The 19,716-nt window shown below is 53.8% G+C and overlaps 1 protein-coding gene across 11 annotated transcripts in view, besides 3 other annotated features; it reads left to right on the top strand.

Moving 5' to 3' along the window:
- The window catches only part of COL23A1 (collagen type XXIII alpha 1 chain), a 352,776-nt gene that overhangs the window by 295,596 nt on the left and 37,464 nt on the right, over positions 1-19,716 (top strand). For 8 of the 11 annotated variants that reach the window (XM_006714934.4, XM_006714935.4, XM_047417869.1 and 5 more), the window contains exons 4-5: positions 4,429-4,436; positions 6,448-6,474. In XM_006714934.4, the coding sequence (XP_006714997.1) occupies positions 4,429-4,436; positions 6,448-6,474 (35 nt within the window). The remainder of the gene's footprint in view (positions 1-4,428; positions 4,437-6,447; positions 6,475-19,716) is intronic. The other 3 variants (XM_011534691.3, XM_011534690.3, XM_011534688.3) reach the window with 1 other exon arrangement.
- Positions 7,072-7,616: an enhancer, noted in NCBI's record as "H3K27ac-H3K4me1 hESC enhancer chr5:177714183-177714727 (GRCh37/hg19 assembly coordinates)". NCBI's record gives its function as "activates a minimal SCP1, AML or CMV promoter by ChIP-STARR-seq in primed H9 embryonic stem cells {active_cell/tissue: H9 hESC(primed)}" and the evidence as "EXISTENCE:reporter gene assay evidence [ECO:0000049][PMID:30033119]".
- Positions 7,617-8,160: an enhancer, noted in NCBI's record as "H3K27ac-H3K4me1 hESC enhancer chr5:177713639-177714182 (GRCh37/hg19 assembly coordinates)". NCBI's record gives its function as "activates a minimal SCP1, AML or CMV promoter by ChIP-STARR-seq in primed H9 embryonic stem cells {active_cell/tissue: H9 hESC(primed)}" and the evidence as "EXISTENCE:reporter gene assay evidence [ECO:0000049][PMID:30033119]".
- Positions 8,161-8,706: an enhancer, noted in NCBI's record as "H3K4me1 hESC enhancer chr5:177713093-177713638 (GRCh37/hg19 assembly coordinates)". NCBI's record gives its function as "activates a minimal SCP1, AML or CMV promoter by ChIP-STARR-seq in naive H9 embryonic stem cells {active_cell/tissue: H9 hESC(naive)}" and the evidence as "EXISTENCE:reporter gene assay evidence [ECO:0000049][PMID:30033119]".

The following is a 19,716-nucleotide window of genomic DNA, read 5'->3' as shown; positions in this document are numbered from 1 at the left end:
TGGTTGGATCAGACCTCTCTTTTATGGCTTCTGGATTATGAACCATAGGTGGAAAAGCCTGCCCTCTCCCAGGCTAGAAAGGAATGTTCCCACATTTTCTTCTAGGATTTTTATGGTTTTCTTAACATGTAAAATCATTGATCCTTTTGGAATTCATCCTGGTTGATGCTGAGGCAGGGATCCAATTTCATTTTTTTGTGATAACTAGTGGTTATAACACATCTCTCCTTACTGTTTCCAGAGGCTCAGGTGTGGGGCACTGGGGAAGGAGCTCGGTAGTGATTTGGGGAGGGAGCTCGGTAGTGATTTGGGGAGGGAGCTCGGTAGTGATTTGGGGAGGGAGCTCGGTAGTGATTTGGGGAGGGAGCTGGGTAGTGATTTGGGAGGGAGCTCGGTAGTGATTTGGGGAGGGAGTTCGGTAGTGATTTGGGGAGGGAGCTCGGTAGTGATTTGGGGAGGGAGCTCGGTAGTGATTTGGGGAGGGAGCTGGGTAGTGATTTGGGAGGGAGCTCGGTAGTGATTTGGGGAGGGAGCTCGGTAGTGATTTGGGGAGGGAGCTCGGTAGTGATTTGGGGAGGCAGATCACCACGTGGAAGGCACCACTGGGTTCGGGCCATTGTCTTAGGAACAAGACAGTGAGGAGGGAAGTGTCAGGATCAGATCTGCATTTTGAGAACTATGACCCTGGCCCCAGAATGGGAGACTGGGGTGGTGATGGGGTGTCATTCTAGAAGCCATCTCTGATCCCACGTGCACCCACCTCATTGCTAGTCGGTTCCAGCCCCTGGGTCACCAGCCCTCTCTCCCACAGTACTTCTGGGTGAATTCCTGTGAATCTTGATAGCCACGTAGAAGCCCCTTACACAGCCTGGCCTCTGGACTCCGTGGCCTCCTCTCCTCTGATAGACTTGGCCTCCTCTGACAACAGCCTGTCCCTCCAGAGGTCTTGCCCGATATAAATGCAGCATCCACAAATTCTCAGTTCACAAATTCCAGCCCATTCCCTCTTCCTGACCCCCACAACCCTTCCATCTCCAGCCTTCAGATCCATGGATCCCAGCCCCTTGCCCCTCACCCCTCCAGCTGGAATCCTGCCAGCTTCCCCATGCCAGACCTCCCTGCCCCTCCCTCCTCCCTCATTCTTACTCAGCAAAAGCCCCACCCCAGACTGAACCCAGTCCCCTCCACATGCTCCACTCCAGTGCGTGCAGATTACCCAGCTGGAGAGAAACACCCCCAGCCCCCGTGGCCCTTTCTGCTGCCTGGCTGAGGCCACATTGTCCAACCCACTCAGCCTCTCCCGCTCAGTCCCCGAACACCTCCTGCAGCATCATCACCTGAGGCTGACGGCCTCGCTTCCTGCTTCACTGAGAGAGTTGGCACAATCAGAAGAGAACTTGCCCGAACTCCCACCTCCATGGCACATGCCTAGCAGCACCAGGCACTCTTCCTCCTGCCATCTCCACAGATGGACTGTCCAGGCCCCCATCTGTGCCAGCGCCAAGAGCCAGCCCTTCTCACCTCCTCAAGAATGTGGCTCTAGGACTCTCCCCTCCTCCCCCACACCGAATCCTCTCTCTCTGCTGGACCACTCTCATCCTACAAACATGTGGCCATGTCTCTCATCCTAAAGAAATACCCATATCCATCTCCAGGCCCCACTCCCACAAAGCAACTGTTCATTTCCTCCCCTTTGCAGCAGAGCTCCTCCAAAGCACCCACTGTCCACATCCCTCAACCCCCTTCTCTCTGAAACCCTCTCCCATCAGACCCCCCTCCTGTCACTCCCTGGACATGCCTCTGCATTGCTACATCCAGTTCCTGGTCTTCTTACTTGACCCATCAGCAGGGCAGTTACTTCGTCCTGTGCACAGGCGATCACTCCCTCCTGAGACACTTTCTCTACTTTGCTTCCAGGACTTCTTGATCTTCTCTTTAACTTGCAGCAGTGCCACGTGTGCCAAGCTTCTGACCCCTTCAGCCAAGCCTGCCCCACTACTATCTCCCCACCTCTGTTGACGGCAGCCCCATCCTTTCAGTTGCTGAAGCCAAAACTAGGGAGATCCTCTTGGCTGTGCTGTCAGAATCAATCCAGAACCCAACCACGTCCACCACTTCCACTGCCACCACCAGCTGTGAGCCACTGTCCTCTCTCCCCTGCAGCATGCAGTAGCCTCCAGGTTCTACCCCTGCTACCCCACACGGGGATCTTTAAAATATGAGCCAGGTCTCACCCTCTCTCTGCTCAAGGCCCTACCCAATTGCCCCACATTGCCCCTCTAAAGCCACCTCCCACTGTTTCTTGCTGTGAGGGAGAGAGCAGAGGAAGGGCAGGAATAGAACGGGGTGTGTGATCAAGGGATGGCTTTGCCAGCCGAGGAATTAGAGCATGTTTCAGAGCTGTTGGGCAGGACTTGCATGAGAGGGCAAGTGTGACTAAGATCCAGAGGGACCGTAGATGGGGCCAGGCTCTGGGCAATACAGAGGGGACAGTGGCCTAATTGAAGGTGGGTCAGTTCTTCCGAGTTAACCTGAAGGCATGGAGAGGAGGGCAGGTGCAGGGGCAGGTGCGGGCACAGGCGCAAGTGCTGGTGCAGGAACAGATCGAGGAGGAGGGGCAGGTGGAAAGGCAGGTACAGGTATAGGCATAGTTGCAGATGCAGGCGCAGGCACGGGGGAGGTACAGATGCAGGCACAGGCTGAGGTGCAGGTCCAGGCACAGGTACAGGCACAGATGTATACAACTGGTGTTGGAAAGGCGATGGCGAACCTATCCGGCAGCTTTTGTTTGCTTTGGAAAATAGGAATCAAGGTCATTGGCTGACAGTGAGGAGTCAGCTCAATGGGATGTCCAAGCTGCCAGCATCTTGCTCTGTTCCGCCCTGATCTAGACTTGGGGAAAGCACTGTCCCCCATGTCATCATTCTGGGGTGTGAGTACATCAGTGTTTCAAGCCAAAAATCCTTGTCATCTCTCTCCTTCCTCTATGCATCGCTACTGTGCGAGCCCCATCTCTCCCCTGACCAACATCTTCTGACTCTCTCCACTCCCCCCTCACCCACCAGCACCTGCATGGGGACACCTCAGCGCATCTCCAGGTGCACTCTTGCCCCTCCCCATCGCTCCTCCTTGCAGAGCCCTTCGCTGACTCCCCTTCACCCTTAGAACCAAGCCCCCCAGACCATTACATGGAAACAAACCCCCGGGCTTGGCTGGCCCTGCCTTCTCCGGCCCTCCCGCTGCTGCAGCAGCCTTCACTTCTCCTGGATCCTCAAAAGCCCGTGATCTTGGCATGTTCTGAGCTTGTCCATCTCTGCAACACTCCTCCCTCCTCTTTTCTCACCCTCTGGACTCGGCCCAGCCTGGGTCAGGGCCCTTGTGCTATGCATGGAGCTTCCTGGCCTTCTCCTTGTGTAATGTCCTCTTAAGGATCTGTCTGCTCAGTCAACATTCATGAGCCAGGGCTCTTGCCTCTTGCACTCACTACTGGTCCCGTTAGTTACCCCCATGGCTCCTGGCTCATACTTGGGACGTATAAATCGTGCTGGCCGCTGACTGCCGGGTGCTGCCTCCCCGTGTGGCCTCATTCTCGAGTGAGGTTCGGGGTCTGGTTTGGCAGCCGCGTGGCTTAGTGCACAGAGCCTAGGGGTGGTAGAGTTGGGAGACCTCCTTCCATCCAGCATGCGCTCACTCCACCATAATCAACGATGTGGCCCCACACAAGTCGCTGCTCTGTGAGCCTCTGCGTTATCAGCTGTCCAGTGGAGATGTTCATCAGACCTCTCACAAAAGATGGTTGGGAAGGTCAAATGCAATAACGAGTATGCAACATGCTTCACAAGCTGTGAGGTGAAGCCCCTGTGGGCCTCATAAGGGTTCTCTGTGAGCCCTCATCTGGTAGACAAGCCTCAGCTGCAGCCCCAGGCCCTGCTACTCCTCATGCATTTCTAACCCTGGAGCTGGGCAGCAGGAGCCCCCTCCCCCAAAAAGCCTGTTCAGCCACACCCATTTGCCATTCCTCCCAGTATTCTCTCTGTCCAAAATGTTTGCTCCCCCAGTCTGCCCTCAATAGAAATAAACCATCCCCTCAGGAGCACCAGAGCTTGTCCTTTAAGTAGGAACATGTTCCAATTCCTACTCAGTGCCAGAACCCAAAGCTGCCTGGTGACATGAATGCATGCACCCATGCATGTGGGAACTGTCACCACCACCCCCGTGACCATCCCGGCCCCTCCAAGGGCAAAGGTGCTCCTTCTGCTCTGCCCCCAGCTTCAGGCCGTGGCAGGAAACAGCCATGGCAGCATCAAAGCCTTCCGGGGAGAGGTGGCCAGGAGCCGTGCTGAGGACAGGTGAGGGGACCGTGCTGAGGACAGGCGAGGGGACTCTGCCTTCCACACTGACTGTGGCTTCTCTGCTTGTGTTTTGCAGGTCCTCCAGTAAGTGTCCTGGACTGTGCTGTCTGCTTCTGAAAGATAAGATGTTTGGTTCTCTCTCTGTTGCAATTCCATGAACATAATTTTGGTTAGGGAGGTGTGTCCTCAGAAAACATCAGTCCTATTAAAAAGTGGCCAGGTGCGGTGGCTCACGCCTGGAATCCCAGCACTTTGGGAGGCCAAGGTGGACAGATCACTTGAGATCAGAAGTTTGAGACCAGCCTGGCCAACATAGTGAGACCTCGTCTCTACTAAAAATACAAAAAATAGCCAGGCGTGGTGGCGGGTGCCTGTAACCCCAGCTACTCAGGAAATCGAGGCACGAAAAATTGCTTGAACCCAGGAGGCAGAGGTTGCAGTGAGTCGAGATCGCACCACTGCACTCCAGCCTGGGCAGCAGACAGAATGAGACCCCGTCTCAAACACAAAAACAAAAACTCATGTGTTTGGGGGGAAAAAATCAGTCATACAGGAGTCATGTTATATTTTAATTTGTAGATGAATGCAGGCACAGAATTCCACAGGCTTGACCTGTTCGCCGGAACGTTCTGTGACCATTTTCCTAGCAAGAGAGCCAGCGCACAAGCCTGGTTGTTCCTCACCAAATCTTGGGCTCACCTTGGTACACGGAAATGCTAGCACCATGTCCGTAGCTTTAAAATGCTCCGTGACAGTTGACGTTTCTAAATGCTTCAGTGTCCCGTGCTTTGGCAGAAAGAGCTGTAGAGTCGGGCAGTTGTCCCAGGAATTAGTCGGGCTTGACCACTAGACCCTGGGGTTCATTTTTCTTCTTTGCCAGAATGTGGATCAGACAGCTGAGACCTTGTGAGCACACCTGGCTGGTGAGGGCATGGCACTGGAGCAGGAGGAAAATGTCACTGCATTTGTGAGGGGTGTGAAGGGTATGAGGGAAGCACTGGGCAGCTCCCTTGAACTTCTCCTGGCCGGCCAGAGGCAGGTTTGAATGCAGGGGATTGCAAGTGGTCCTAGAAATCCCATTCATTCTCCAGGGCAAAGGATGTGCCTGCCTTTGATTCATGCTGTCAGTTTTTCAGAGCCCGGTAAATCCCAGTTAATCCACTCAAGAAGCACATTGACAGTCAGAGCCAAAATCAGCCTTCTCAAGGAATTCCTTTCAGATGAGCCCTTTTATTTTTTACTTCCGTGTACCATGATTGGTTTCCCGATCAGTGCCCTTCGGAATCTGGGCTTCTCGGTGCATGCAGCCCCACCGTGAGCCAAGCAAGACAGCAGGATTGTGTTGATTTATTGGCTTCAAGCGATGTTTGGCAGCTGAGTTCTTCCTGGCTGTCTCAGGGAGGCTAGCGTGTGTGAACTTGCTGAAGTACCTAACGCCGGGGGCTATAGAGTGTTTTTTTTGTTTCTTTTTTAACTTGGCAGTTAAAATAGTAAATGAATTAAACAAATGCAGAAATTCTCAAGCTGCAACCTGGAAGGGTCTGACCTGGGAGATGGGTGCCCAAGTGTGGAACACAGGCAGGGTGGTCACTGCTCCAGGGTCTGGAACTAGGGGGCAGAGAAGCATGCAGCCACAGTGAACGCCCCCCGATATTCCTGGCTTCTAAGGCTCTCTTTCTTGGTTCACCCCATCCCAGTGGCAACTGAGAGGAAACAGGCTCTCTTCCAGGCCTAGTTTAAGGAGCATTTTCAGTTCCTGGTTGGTCGTGTGGTTGTGGCTGCACCCTCCAGAACCCCACGTCCCCACGTGGCATTTACCCTATGCCTGGCCAGCGTGGGGAGGGCACACATGTGACTGTGCCCGGAGCCCCGATGAAGCCCTGAGGCTCTTGGTCCCTCCAGCCTGGCCCTCTGAGGCAGGAAAGGGCTGCTCTGCCCCCAAGACCCCTGGAGCCCTTGAGTCCTCCCGCTGCAGAGGAAGTCACCAACCAGCTGTCGGGGGGCGGGTGTGGGTCTGGGCCCTGATTGAGCTCTAAGTGTTGCCATATGGTTTCTGCCGAAACTCTGATTATTAATGACATATTAATTACCACAGGGGCAATCAGGACGAGATGGCTACCCGGTAATTTGTCATTTATTTTTTTGCTCTCTTCACCCTTTTCTCTTAAACCAATATTCTTTCCCTGAGCCTTGATTTAACTCTGTCTGCGCTCCTGTCTCTTCTGCTCCTCAGCAGCCGTGGTCTTTCTGTGGAGGCGATTAGCGTGAGCTCTGGGGAGGTAAAGGCTGCACAGATCTCCAGGGCTGCCCTGGAGGCAAGGCAGAGCACCTCGAGCAGGTGTCTGGGTGGCACTGAATCCACCTGCCACTGCTTCTTCAGTAAGTCCAGCCAAGAGCCAACAGTCCAGCCCCCGCACTGTGGCGTGCTCCACTGGAGGGCTGGGCCTCTTCCCAGTGGGCAGAGGACTCCCTGTCCCAGCCACCGCTCCTCGTCATCACTCGATAACAGGAGACTGGCTGGTTCCAGTTTGGCTGTGGTGTCATCCCTTGGCAGATCTCTTAAAATTAACCCAAAAGCTAGCGCATTCCTGGGATAGATGTCCTAGCCCCGGCCAAGTGAGCACCACGTCAGCAGCAAGACGCAGCGTGGCTGTGCCGCTGTCAGGTCCTGTGCGGGGGTTGAGGGTCGTGGCAGCAGCATCCGGAGGTCCTGGGATGTCAGAAAGAGTAGGGGGAGCCCAGCAGCAGAAGAGATTGGCAGGGCCGTCAGGGGAGGGGCAGATTCATTTTGTGCCTCCAGGGCAGGAAGATGCAGGGAGGGAAATGCTGGCTGATTCGGGACAGATCTGTGCAGTCAGGACGGCTGGTGATAGAGAGCGGTGGTCCCCGGTCCTGCAGCGGAGGAGAGGAGGCCAGCCCCAGCACCAGGGAGACTTGACGTGGGGTCCACTCTGCTTCCTCTCGGCTGAGTGACCTTAAGAGAAGGTGCTCACCTTCGCTGAGCTTCAATTTCCTGCTCTGTGAATGCAGAGATGAAGGCACATGATGTGTCACAAACCCAGCCCTCCAGGACTTGGTGGTAACTCTGGGGAACATTGACTTCATGCTGGAGTGGCCCCGTGCTGGGCTGAGTCAAGTTTGGGATCTCCCAGGCAGTCCGGGCAGCTCCCCCAGCAATGAGCAGCCTGGCCTCTCAGACTCTGCGGAAGTAAGAATGAAATGTGAAAACCAGCTGGGACCCACCCTCATCCCATGGCACACCTGGGGTTAGGGCCCTGCCGCAGTCCCCAGCTGCTCTTCTGATTAGGCAAGGGTCAGGCTCCCGTCTCCTGCACACGGCAGCCCGGACCTTTGGGCGTCCAGCATCTTGGGGAAGCACAGGCTTTCGCTGGAAAGTTCAGCCCCGCATCTTGGCATTATTCGCTGTACCAGTACCGGCTCGGGAGGACCGGAGACTAACAGAACCACTCCTGGCATGACGCAGTTCCCTTCACCCCGGGTTACTCTGTATTCACAGGTCCAGAGGGGAGAGGGTGGGGTGTAGATGAGTGGTTTCCTCCCCCTCTTCTCCATTGTTTCCTCTGAGCAAAGTGACCCAGCGGTCCGGTCCGTTCCCCACCAGCCTCGAGCATCGGAGAGGATGCTGCCTGCTGCCCCGGGGGAGGGGCAGGGGGCTTGTTCTCAGCCACACCAGAGCAGGTGCCAGGGTCTGCGTCCCACAGAGGCCTCTTCTCCCTCACTCCTTCCTCCCAGGACCCAGTTGGGTGCCGGCAGCTGGCCCTGTGGCCGACAGGCAGGAGGCTGGGTGCGGATGGAGTAGCTGGGCGTGGCTCTCATCTCTGCAGCTCACTCGCTGTGAAGCCTGGGGAAAGGAAAGCCCCTTGGCTTAGAGCACCCAGAACGCGAGCCAGGCCAAACCCGGGGCTGCTGTCCCTGGGGCCATGACAGGACTGTCGGGAATTAAAGACGAAGCTGAGTGTGGGGGTGGTATCGGGCTCCCTCACACCTGGGCCTGGCCTGGAGAAGGGGCGCTGTGACTGTCGGGGCTGGGAACGGAGAGAAGGATGTGTGTGGAGCCCCGCGGGCGTCCCTCAGGCTTGACACTGGGAGCTTTCTTGGAAGGAAGAGAGCTGGGGTCCAGCAAGCCCCCCCACTTCCTCTGTGTAGGCAGCTCTGGCAGCCGTGCCCCTGGTCCTACCAGCAGCTCCCCAGTCACTGGGAGGCCTGAGCAGGCTGGGCCTGGTGAGGGATGAGGGCACCCTGTCAACGTCTCCAGGAAGCTGGTATCACAGCCCATGATGGCCTTCTTCCTGAGGTCGCCCAGCCCCAGCTTACACACAGACCCCCATTTCCACACGGAGGTAGGCGTCTTCCCTGGGTGGGCTGGATTCAGGGCGTTCACGTCGCCAGCACCAGGAGCAAGACCAGCTGTGTGCCTCCAGACCCCTCGTTCTCACACCACCACCTGGGCCACTCCTTCCGTGAGACCCACAGGGTGGGGCAGACACCCCGCTCAGCTTCCCCATTCGAGGAAGGGGAGGACCTTTCGCAGGCTCCTGGGGCCCAGTCCTGAGTGGAAATTCCTATCTCTTGGCCTGTGGAGGACAGGAGGGCTCTGCCCGGCTCTCAGCCTGGGGTATATTTGCAGATGGCTCCATGTGGTCATCCCAGAGGCTGGGGTGACTGCCTCGTGCTGAAGGGCCTGGGCCACCTCGGAGGCCCCTCATGTGCAGAGGATCACCGTGGCTTTGAGTCAGTCACCTGTGTGGACTTGGGCAGGCTACTTGGGCCTGGGGAGATCACACCTGCAGAGCGGGGTTAACTGAGTGTGAGACACAGAGGCCATTTCCAGTCCTGTGTGTGGCAGCCCTTCTATAAATATCACTGTCTTTCCTCATCGTTGACAGTCTCAATAGAAGAAAAGATGGGTTTCAGAAATCATTCTAACCTACTCAGTATAAATTTGCAATATTTGGAAAGAAAAACACCTTTGAGAATGGTCGGTTTTAGAAAAAGCATTTTTTGGTTTTTTGTTTTGTTTGTTTGTTTTTTGTGTTTTTTTGTAGCTTAGTAAACTTCAGGACCAGCCTCAGGGAGGACTTACTTTTTTCTCTTTGTGCCAATATCTTATCACTTTCTAAGAGCAAGGATAGAGTCTGGCAGGAGACTCTGGTGGTGGAGACTGTCGGTGCTTTTCTGGATTAACTCAGGCCAGCTGCCTCAGCTGAAACCAGGTCCATGTGTGGACCTGATAGGAGTGGCTGGAGGACACGGGGCATAGGGGCCACCCACATCTGTGGGGCAGGTTGTGGACTTGAGGAAGTCAGAGCCGACAAGGGCCCGGCTCGCCCTGTCCATGCCCTCCGTGTACAGAGGCTGGCCTGTCCTCTCTGCTCCCGAGGATGCATTAACAGCCTCTTCTGATTACAACAAAAAGCATGTTTATTGTAAAACATTTGGACAATGGAGAAAAACACAAGGAAAAAGCATCTCTAATTCTGCCACTCACAGATAAGTCCTCTTATCTTGGTGGTGGTTCTAGTATTTCTTATATCCAAGTTTGCTTTTATATTTATTGCTTTAAAAATAGAATTACAAGTGCCTTCTTAGTGCAGTGGGCAGCACGTCAGTCTCATAATCTAAAATACAATTACATTGGACATACTTTTTTGTACTATTTTTTTCACTAAATATAGCATGAGACTTTTCTGCATCATTAAAAATCCTTAGAGAATGTAATGGCTACATTGTATTTGATCCGATATATCATTTATTTAGTCTCAAAGTTAAATTATTTATATTGACAATTTTTCACCCTTACAGTCAACATCCTGGGAATAAATATAGCTTATTTCCATGATTATCTCCTTAGAATAAATGACTAAAAGTGGAATTGCTGCACCAAAGGGTTTGCACATGTGTAAGGCTTTTGATGTGTATTGCCAAATTGCCCTCCAGGAGACTGTACTAATTTACATTCCCACCAACAATGAATAAATGCTGTCTATTTCCCCAAATGCTGGCCAACTGTGGGTATTACACTTTTAAAGCTATGCCAATATAAGTTTTAAAATATATACATATATGTATGAATATTGTTTTAATTTAGGGCATATTTTAATTAGAACTAGTCAGAGATTAAACTAGTTTTGATAAGGTTTGTGTAATCCTGTCACCTCGTGGTAAAGGTTGGAATTGCAGGCATAGAGTTTAAAGAGGAAATCACCCGTGTTTAAGAGCTTTTGGATCCCAACTGGTCCAGGGACGGAAGACATCATAGAATCAACAGCATAGGGATAATTCCTAACTCAGAACATTGTGGATCAAAAGTTGAGCCTTCAGAGGAGCCCTAGGCACGGCACTCTTGCATTTTGGGGTAGTAATCAGTATTTATGTGGATAAAGTGATTTGCCCATCTCAGAAATAGGAGGCTTGGCTGTGTTCAACAAATCTGGTGGGTGTCATACCCTGGCCTGGGCACTGGGGTGGCACAAAGATGGATCAGGCCCAGTCACAGTCTTTAGAGAACCATATGGGAATGGGAGTTTGCCCTGGGATAGAGAGGAATGAATAATTAGAAGCTCAATGTCATCTTCCCGGAGGTATCTTGTTTATCATGAGCGCTTTTTCCTCTCTAAACTGTGGCATCTGACTAAGATGAAACCACCTGTCACTCATGCAGGGCTTAATCTTGCCTGAACTTTGACTTACACAGAAAACATTAGACTTTCTCATCATCTCCTATTTACAATGTCACAATGTTTGCTTTTCCTCTTCTTTGGTAGTTTGATTGTCTTAACTCTTAACATTAAGCTTTAGTGACTTTCTGGTTTGTTTTACACATTCAGAAAGCTATTTAAACATTTCTTCGATATCATTTAATGTACTTACAAGAGAATAAAACAAGGATGTGATGAGAGTGTTGGCTGGGTGAATGGACAGGTATAATTTGGATTAAATAATCAGAAGGTTCTTGAGGAAAGTAACATTGAAGTGAGATTTAAATGATGAAAAAGCTGCAGAGATCTTGGGGGAGATCCCGGCAGAGGAAAAAGCAAGTGCACAGGTCATGAAGTTGGAGCAAGCTTTGTGTGTTCAGGTACACTCAAGGTCAGTGTGGCAGGAGTGAGTGAGCAGGTGACAGGAAACGATAGGAAGTGAAGCCAAAGAAGCTCCCAGAGCTGCACCAAGTAGAACCAAGACAGAGGCGAGGGCTGGGGGATGGAACTTGACTCTGTGTTTATAGAAATCACTTGTCCCGGCCGGGCGCGGTGGCTCACGCCTGTAATCCCAGCACTTTTGGAGGCCAAGGCGGATGGATCACTTGAGGTCAGGAGTTCAAGATCAGCCTGGCCAATACGGTGAAACCCTGTCTCTACCAAAAAAAATAAAAATAAAAATACAAAAACTAGCCAGGTGTGGTGGTACATGCCTGTAGTCCCAGCTACTTGGGAGGCTGAGGCAGGAGAATCACTTGAACCCAGGAGGCAGAGGTTGCAGTGAGCCAAGATTACGCCACTGCACTCCAACCTGGGTGACAGAGCAGAGCGAGACCATGTCTCAAAAAAAAAAGAAAAAAGAAAAATCACTTGTCCCCAGAGATAGACTGCCAAGGGGTTGGAGATCCCCCACTCATGGTGCTTCCTTTGGGAACAGAGAAGAAAAGACTGTCACCCTTCATCTCCCAAAGCCCTTCCAATGTGCCAGGGAAGCAGGTGCAAGTATTGAGTGCTTGCTGGGTGCGCACTCATGCATGCCGTCTCACCATGGGAGGCTAGTGGTTTCAACCCTACCTGACAGATGAGAAATCTGAGCTCAGAGGGTGACAGGACTTAGCTGAGACACACGGCCTGCTTGCATGCCAAAGCCTGGATTAGCACCCAGGCTATGTGACCCTACTCCCTCACACCAACCAGCCAGCCTCTCAAGCTGTCTACAGTAGCAGGGCCGGGGCCAGGATGGGCTGCTTATTGGCAGGAGAGTGCTTCTCAGACCACCCCCAGAAACACATACTTGGAGAGGATGTTTGGTTTCTCCTGCTCATACCTGTCTGTATCCAGCCCTGCTGCTCCCTTCCCAACTATTGTATTCCACCCCTGGTATCAAAGTGTTAGGATGCTTTCCTGCTTTACGAAAAAAGAAAAACAAAAACTAAGTCTAACTTAAACTTAAAAGTCCATTTCTTCATTTCACCTCCTCTCCTATTCCTCATTCATACCTCCGTGTCATAGCCGTTATTAGAAATTAGGAAGAATTTCTAAATCTTCCCCTGGTAATGAAATGTCCAGTTCTGTATCACTGTGCAGGGTGTCCCTGCAGAGGAGCAGCTGAACGGAGCAGGGCATGCTCAGCCTGGGCAATATGGCAAAACCCCATCTTTTTTTTTTTTTTTTGGAGACAGTGTCTTGCTCTGTCGCCCAGGCTGGAGTGCAGTGGCATGATCTCGGCTCACTGTAACCTTCGCCTCCTGGGTTCAAGTGATTCTCGTGCCTCAGCCTCCCAAGTAGCTAGGATTACAGGTACGCACCACCACGCCTGGCTGATTTTTTTGTGTTTTTAATAGACACAGGGTTTTGCCATGTTGCACAGGCTGGTCTCAAACTCCTGAGCTCAGGCAATCTGACCACCTCGGCCTCCCAAAGTGCTAGGATTACAGGCATGAGCTGCCAATCCTGGCCGAATCCCCGTCTGTTTTAAAAAATAAAATTTTAAATCAATCAATTAATTATTAAAAAGTAGAAAAGGCCTCCTTGGCTACAGGGCAGAAACTGGAGGAAGGGGTGCGGGTAGGAGGCGGTTGCACTAATTTGCTGGTGAAGCCTGAATGACTAACAGAAACGAGGGCTGGCAGGCGTCACAGGTCAGCTCTGAGCACACCCAAAACCACACGCACGGCACCTCCTGGGCCCCGGAGCGCCGTGCCCAAGCCCCTCTGGAGTCGAGGGAGCGGTGACTGCACTTCATCTCCGGCCTCAGTCCTGGGAGCAGCGACAGCCGGGGCCCCAGGGGACTGCGAGAGCTCTGGGCTGAAATGTGGTCTGTGAGACGGGGCCTCGGCCTGGGACCAATTTTGAAATGAAGGACTCGGATGGACGGTTTGGAATTAATCAAGTGAACAAGAAAGGCCCATGGAGCACCGCACGTTCACACGCTCTCTTGCACTCTTGTAGTTCAAAAACAGCTTTGATTATAAAAATGTAATCAGTTAAACGATTTATCTGAAATATCCCAAATTCATCTGTTTTTAGATTTCAACATCCTCCATCTCATTTCCGTCTGACCCCTACAGTGCCACCCCACAATCCCCAGATTCTAGTGAAGCTGAGACCGGATGAAAGCCGACTCCGGAGTCCCTGATAATGGCACGCAGACTGGAACCTCAGGGAGATGCAACCAGGGCCACCATGCTGGCCGTTCTCCCCAGGGCCCTAAGTCTCTTGAGTCCAGCCTCTTGTCTTGGTCCAGCACTGTGTCCCCAGTGTCCCCGTGAGTGTCCCATGTGGGGCAGCCCATTCACAGGAGGCGGCCACCCCAGGTCAGTGGGGCCCGAGCTGCTGCTCCGCCCTCGGCTCCCAGATGCCTCCTGTATCTGCTGCAGTTTTTTGCATCCTCCTGGCAGCAGCCCAGGTACCTCCTGTCCACACCTAGCTCTGGGAGGAGACTTAGCAGGGACAGCAGTGTAGGGGGCCCAGCAGAGGGGGTTGGTCCTGCGCTTTGCTGTTTTGCCTGTGATATGTTTGCAGCGTGGTCACTGGCTGGAACCGCCTCCCACTTCCCCAGGCAACAGACCAGCCCCACAGCATCCTCGCCCCATCACATGGAAGAACATGTTCACAGACCTGCACAAAGTCACCGAGCCAAGCCCAGGTCTTCGAAGCAAATAGACTAAAGAGAAAGCAGTGATTTTGGTATGAAGCTGCCCCCGACCAGGACCCAGGGCTGGCACGATGTCCAGCCCATGCAGTGGAGACAGAATGGGCCCAGGGGTCTATAGTCCATGTGGCCTCAGGCACGTCCCTGGCCCCGCCAAGCCTCGGCCCCTTCAGCTATTGGGGGAACCAAGGAGATGACGCAGGAGAGCTTCAGAGTTGGGCACACGGACTGGGTTCAGGGACCGTTCCCACTGCTCTGTCCATTACCAATGCCAGCCAGGGAAGCCTGTGAGGCTGAAGGCGCCCCTTTTGGGCCTGCATCCTCAATGGCCAGCGTCCTGGCTGATCGCCCAGGCTGTGGCCCGAGGGCGGGAGTCCAGCGCAAGAGTCCGCCAGGGCTGGAGGCAGCCTTCGGCAGGTCAAGCGCGCCCTCTAGTGTTCCCTGGCCGGGCACGAGAGCCAGCAGGATGGACGTTCATTCAGAGAATCGTTCCCTTCACCGTTGTTGATCCATTCAGCGGGTATTTACTGTGTTCTCGTTATGTACGAGGCGCTTCGGCATTTGGGATACGGTAGCAGGAAACACATCCAGGGGTCCCTCCCCACTTGGAGCCTGTGGTTGAGTGGCAGACAGAACAAAAAACTCCCACAAATTCCAGCTTCACTATGCCTCGTGGCCAGGGCTAGGAGGCGGGGCTCCCGTTACCCAGACCTGGCCTGGTGGGGGTCAGGGGCACCGCCTTGAGGAAGGGAGGTGTGAGTCGAAGTCAGAAGGTGAAGAGGATGCTGATAAGTGGGGAGTTTCAGGGGGAACATCCAGAGAGGGTGCACCCAAGATGGGCCGGGATGGTAAGGGCGTAGGGGGAGGTGAGAAGCCTGTGTCCCTGGAGCACCCAGCCTTGAGGAATTGGCCATCTCTTGTCCACTCTGGAGTTCCACCCCGGGTGGCTGGACAAAGGGGCCCACAGCCCCACCCACCCAAGCTGAGAGCCCTCCCTGGGCTGGAACCTGAGGCCTCGTCTTCCCAGCCACGTGGAGGTTCTGGGCACAATTGAACCAGGCGCTGCAAGGTGGAGGGTCTAGCCTGAGAAGGACCAGGCTTAAACAAAATCTTTGCAAACCCCTCAGTCTGCCCGGGGAGCAGTGAGTTCCACATCACCAGGGGTGTGCGAGCCAAGGCTGCACATCCTCCGGTCAGGAAGGGCATCTGTGGTGGGCACTGGAGCCATGTGGCTGGTCACTGTGGGAGGAGAGGTGGCAGGAAGACAGAGCAGTGAGTCCATAAGTGAGAAACTGGCGGGGGCGGGAGCTGAAGAAGGCTCCTCAGAAGAGGTGACACGTGAGTCTGGAAGGAGGCGCTCAGGAGGAAGAGGTTGTCCTTGAATGCCAGGCCAGGGGTACAGCTTTGCCCTGAGGGCAGTGGGTGAGGGTGTGCCAGGTGCTACAGCAGCCAGAGGAGGGGCAGTCAGCAGGCAGGGCACAGGGCTCGAGCAAAGCTTTGGGCTGGTGTCCTGGCCTCTCCGAGCTCCAGATCTTCATCTGTGAAATGGGGATGATGAGGCTTCTGCCTGGCCGGTCTGTGGTCAGGGCCAGTGACATCTAGATAGGGAGGGAAGGGCCCACATTGCTTCAGCTCCACTCTGTTCCCTGGCTTCATTTACCCCAGGGCTGGCCCAGCGCGTCACAGCTGCTCTCATTAACCCACCCTTCCCCTGCTGCCTGCTGTGAGCCCAGATCCAGGGAGCCATTCCATCCGCAACACACTCAGTTTGCAGAGGAGGAAACGCGCTCCAGGGAAATTCAGCAGCTCACTCCCAGGTCTACGGGGCAGGACCTCATCATCAGGATGTACCCTGCTCCTTCACTGTGCAGGAAGGATGGGTATGTGGGGCAGGAGGTAGGGGGCCTGGCGGAGGCTGGCCCAGGAGGGTGGGAGGACTGGAGAGATGGACCTGAGCTAGAATTGCAGGCTCACGGGCTCACTGACGCTTGCAGCCGCCGGCAAGTGAGAAAATAGATGAGGCTGGTTGGGCGCAGGAGAGCAGAGAAAACGGCAGGGCCTGGGGTGAATCGGGGCACCCGCCCCATCGGGGTGCAGTTCCGCACATGCAGTCATCACTACCACATCTTCCAACATTTCCAGAGAAGCTGGAAATCCAAATTCTATAAAAATCCTTTGCATTTTTAAGGGTTTCAACCAGTTCTTTACCAGTGGGTGACAATTGTCTGTGGAAACCAAGGAGGGCCCACCCCACAGCCTAGGGGGCAGCTCTCAGGGAGGCTGGGAAACCAACCATGCCCCAAGGGTGGGGCAGGAGGGCAGAGCTTGGCCTGGGCATGGTCCAGGGGCCACAGGGCGAGGCAGAGTGACTGCAGCTTCAGTGTGTGCTGCGAGCTGTCCTGGTCACGCTGTCTCCCTCTAGACTGCCTCGTGGAGTTTGGCCACGCTGTGGCGGTCACCCTTCTGTGAAGGTCACACTTCCCGTCAGCTGCTGCTCCCTACTCTGGATTTCCACCCCATCCACGGCTGGCACCAAAATGAGCTGATGGTGTGTTCCCCCAGACTTCCTTCCACCAGAACAGCCCTCTGTGCCTGAGCTGGTGACCTGGGCAGCTCAGTCAGACACATCCCGGCCCGCCGGTCCCATCCTCCATCCTCCCTCACCCCACGGGGGTCAAGCTCTTTCCTCTCTGCCACCTTAATGAGGAACAGTATTTTCTGATACCTGACAGGGTAATCATGTCTCTCCCCACCAGTCATGGGCAAATGTGTCATTTCAGCAGGTATTTTTGGGATCGGTTCAAAGGCACAGTGCTGTAAACACCACCTCTGCTAGCCATGATGTGTGACATGGACATACATGTAATTACTTCCAGCACACTCAGGCATCACCGAGCAGGTCCTCTCCCCAAAATAGAAGCCAGCCGGTTTCACAGCCTCACAGCATCATAGAGCTGAAAGGGCCCTGGGAGACTTTCTAGGCCAAGGGTTACAAATCAGATGCCCTGCAGAGCTGGCGAGTCACCTCGCCATGGGCAGCAGGCTAGGCGTGAGACCACAGGGAAGGGTGGAGCCTGTGGACCAGGGTCTGCGAGATCTCCCGGCTTTTCAAGAAAAGCCCAAACTCTGGACGTTTATGTAAAAGGTTGCAATTTTTAAATGTGACTAATTCATTTGGTTTGGGGTTCTTTGTTTTTTTGTTTGTTTGAGACAAAGTCTCGCTCTGTCACCCAGGCCGGAGTGTAGTGGTGCCATCATAGCTCACTGCAGCCTCAACCTCCACGGTTTAAGCAATCCTCCTGCCTCAGCCTCCTGAGTAGCGGGAGCTACAGGCATGTGCCACCACACCCAACCTTTTTTTTTTTTTTTTTTAGAGATGAGGTCTCACTATGTTGCCCAGGCTGGTCTTAAACTCCTGAGCCAGGGTAATCCTCCTACATTGACCTTCCAAAGTGCTGGGATTACGGGCATGAGCCGTTATGCCCAGTCTGGGTTCTTTTAACTGCACGGATCAAATAAAACCTGGCTCCCAGAAAGACATTGCCCAATTCCAGCCCCTCACACTACAGATGAGCAGCACAGAGGGCAGCAGCCCAAGCAAGGCCAAGGAGCACATGAGGGGCAAGTCTCTGACCTTGGTGCAAGCGCTTGGGACCCCACCCAGCTGAAGCTCCTACAGTTTGCTGAGTTGAGGTGCATAGGTCACTACAGAGCCCACTCTACAAAATGCCCTAGGTCCCAGGAAGAAGTGCTCCAGGAGGAACATTGTGCCACCCTCAAGGCACCAGCAACAGCTGGGCTGAACCTAACTTTGAGGGTCTTTTCTTCCTTTCCCTAGCACAAAGAATTTGAGTTTGGGAAATTGCTAAGCCCCGGACAGTCTTGCTGCAGCCCATGTGTGTACAAAGAGCCTAGGCTGAGAAATCAGAACCGTATGGTGCTGACCCGCCCTGAAGGGGGCTGCCCACCCACCCCTTATCCACCAGCCGGCTCTAATGAGAGCTGGGAGGAGGCTCAGGGAACCTTCACACAGGAATGTGCACTTCCCAGGCTGGGACCTCAGGCCCCACCAGCCTTGTAATTTGATGAATTGTCAACATCTGGGGTGTAATTACTAGGTCCTGGCCTGATAATCCTGGTAAGCCCTTCTTCCAGGGGCCTTGTCCTAGTGCATTTTGAGGGCTCCGTTCCCTCACAGGAACCGTCAGCATTAATTACAGCCAGAAAGCAAGACAGGCCCCCAGCTCTGGCCGATTTGAGCGTTTACTCCTGTCTGCTTCTAAACGCGGCCAGTTTATTTGTTTGGTTCAGTTCAGCAGATGCTGGAGCCGATCTTGGGGAGTGCTGGGCCGCAGTCAGGAGGACAGGGCCAGCCCTGGACCTTTCCCTAACATAGAGCAAGAAGAGCAGCACAGGCTTTTCCCGGCAGATGAGCATCAAGACACTCCAGGGATGGAGCCACCATACTCCACATCCCGAATGTACTTCACCAGGAAACCTCCCCTCTGTAGCCACACGGTTATAGGACCACCAGTTTCAAATGCCCGCTGCGTTAGTACCAGGCCAATTACACTGAGACAGCAGGGTTTGCTGCAGAGAAAGAGTTTAATGATTGCAGGGCACCCAGCAAGGAGATGGAGGAGACCCTCAAATCCATCCCCCCAAGGAGTTCTGGGCCAGGGTGTTTAAGGGGATCATGGAGGGTGAGGGGCTGGAAAATTGGGGTCATTGATCGGTCAGGACCGGGGGGCTGAAATCAGCAGGATGTGGAGACCGCACTCCGGTGAATCAGCTCCCGTGGGATCCTTCCGACCAGCTGACTTTGTAGTTTCACTGGTGTGCAGGCTCTGAAAGAGTAGGGAAAAGGTAGTTTTTTACGTTCAGATTGGTATCTACGGAGCAGTTAAGGGGAACCATGACCCTGTAAGAGAACCTGCGCGATTCTGAGGCAGCAGGAAAACAGTTCCGAGAAGGGGTCAGGGAGCACGCTGACCTCATGATGATGCTGAGTGTGCCACAAGCTTGGTTTATTTTTGTTCCTCCCCCTCCCTTCTTCCCTAATTAACTTTATAACGTTTATAGGGCTGGTTTCAACACTTGTTAATATGCCTCAAAAGATGGCTCTGTGAACCCGGCTTAGGAAATACGCGACAGGCCGAGGGAGGGAGAGAGCAAAGCCTCAGCTTCACAGGTGGCAGAGCTGGCGGCACCGTCCAGGGTCCTGCTGCCGGCCTCTTGGAAGGCCACACACGGGTCGCTCCCAGCACTGTCCCCCAGGGCCAGGGCAAACCCTAATCCAGTGTCTGCTTGCCCGTGGGGCTTCGCATCTTGCATTGGTCTGGGAAACAAAGGCCACTGACCTGGGACCCAATTTGAACTTGTTGTTTGAGAGGAGAATGGCATGACCTGCATTTCACAAATGAGGAAACTGAGGCTCGGGGACACCCCAGTCCCTGAGCAAAGCAAGGGACTGAGGCAGCACCAGGGCTGG

Source organism: Homo sapiens, chromosome 5 (genome assembly GCF_000001405.40).
Source record: "Homo sapiens chromosome 5, GRCh38.p14 Primary Assembly".
NCBI lineage: Eukaryota > Metazoa > Chordata > Mammalia > Primates > Hominidae > Homo > Homo sapiens.
This window is presented reverse-complemented; position numbering and strand designations above follow the sequence as displayed.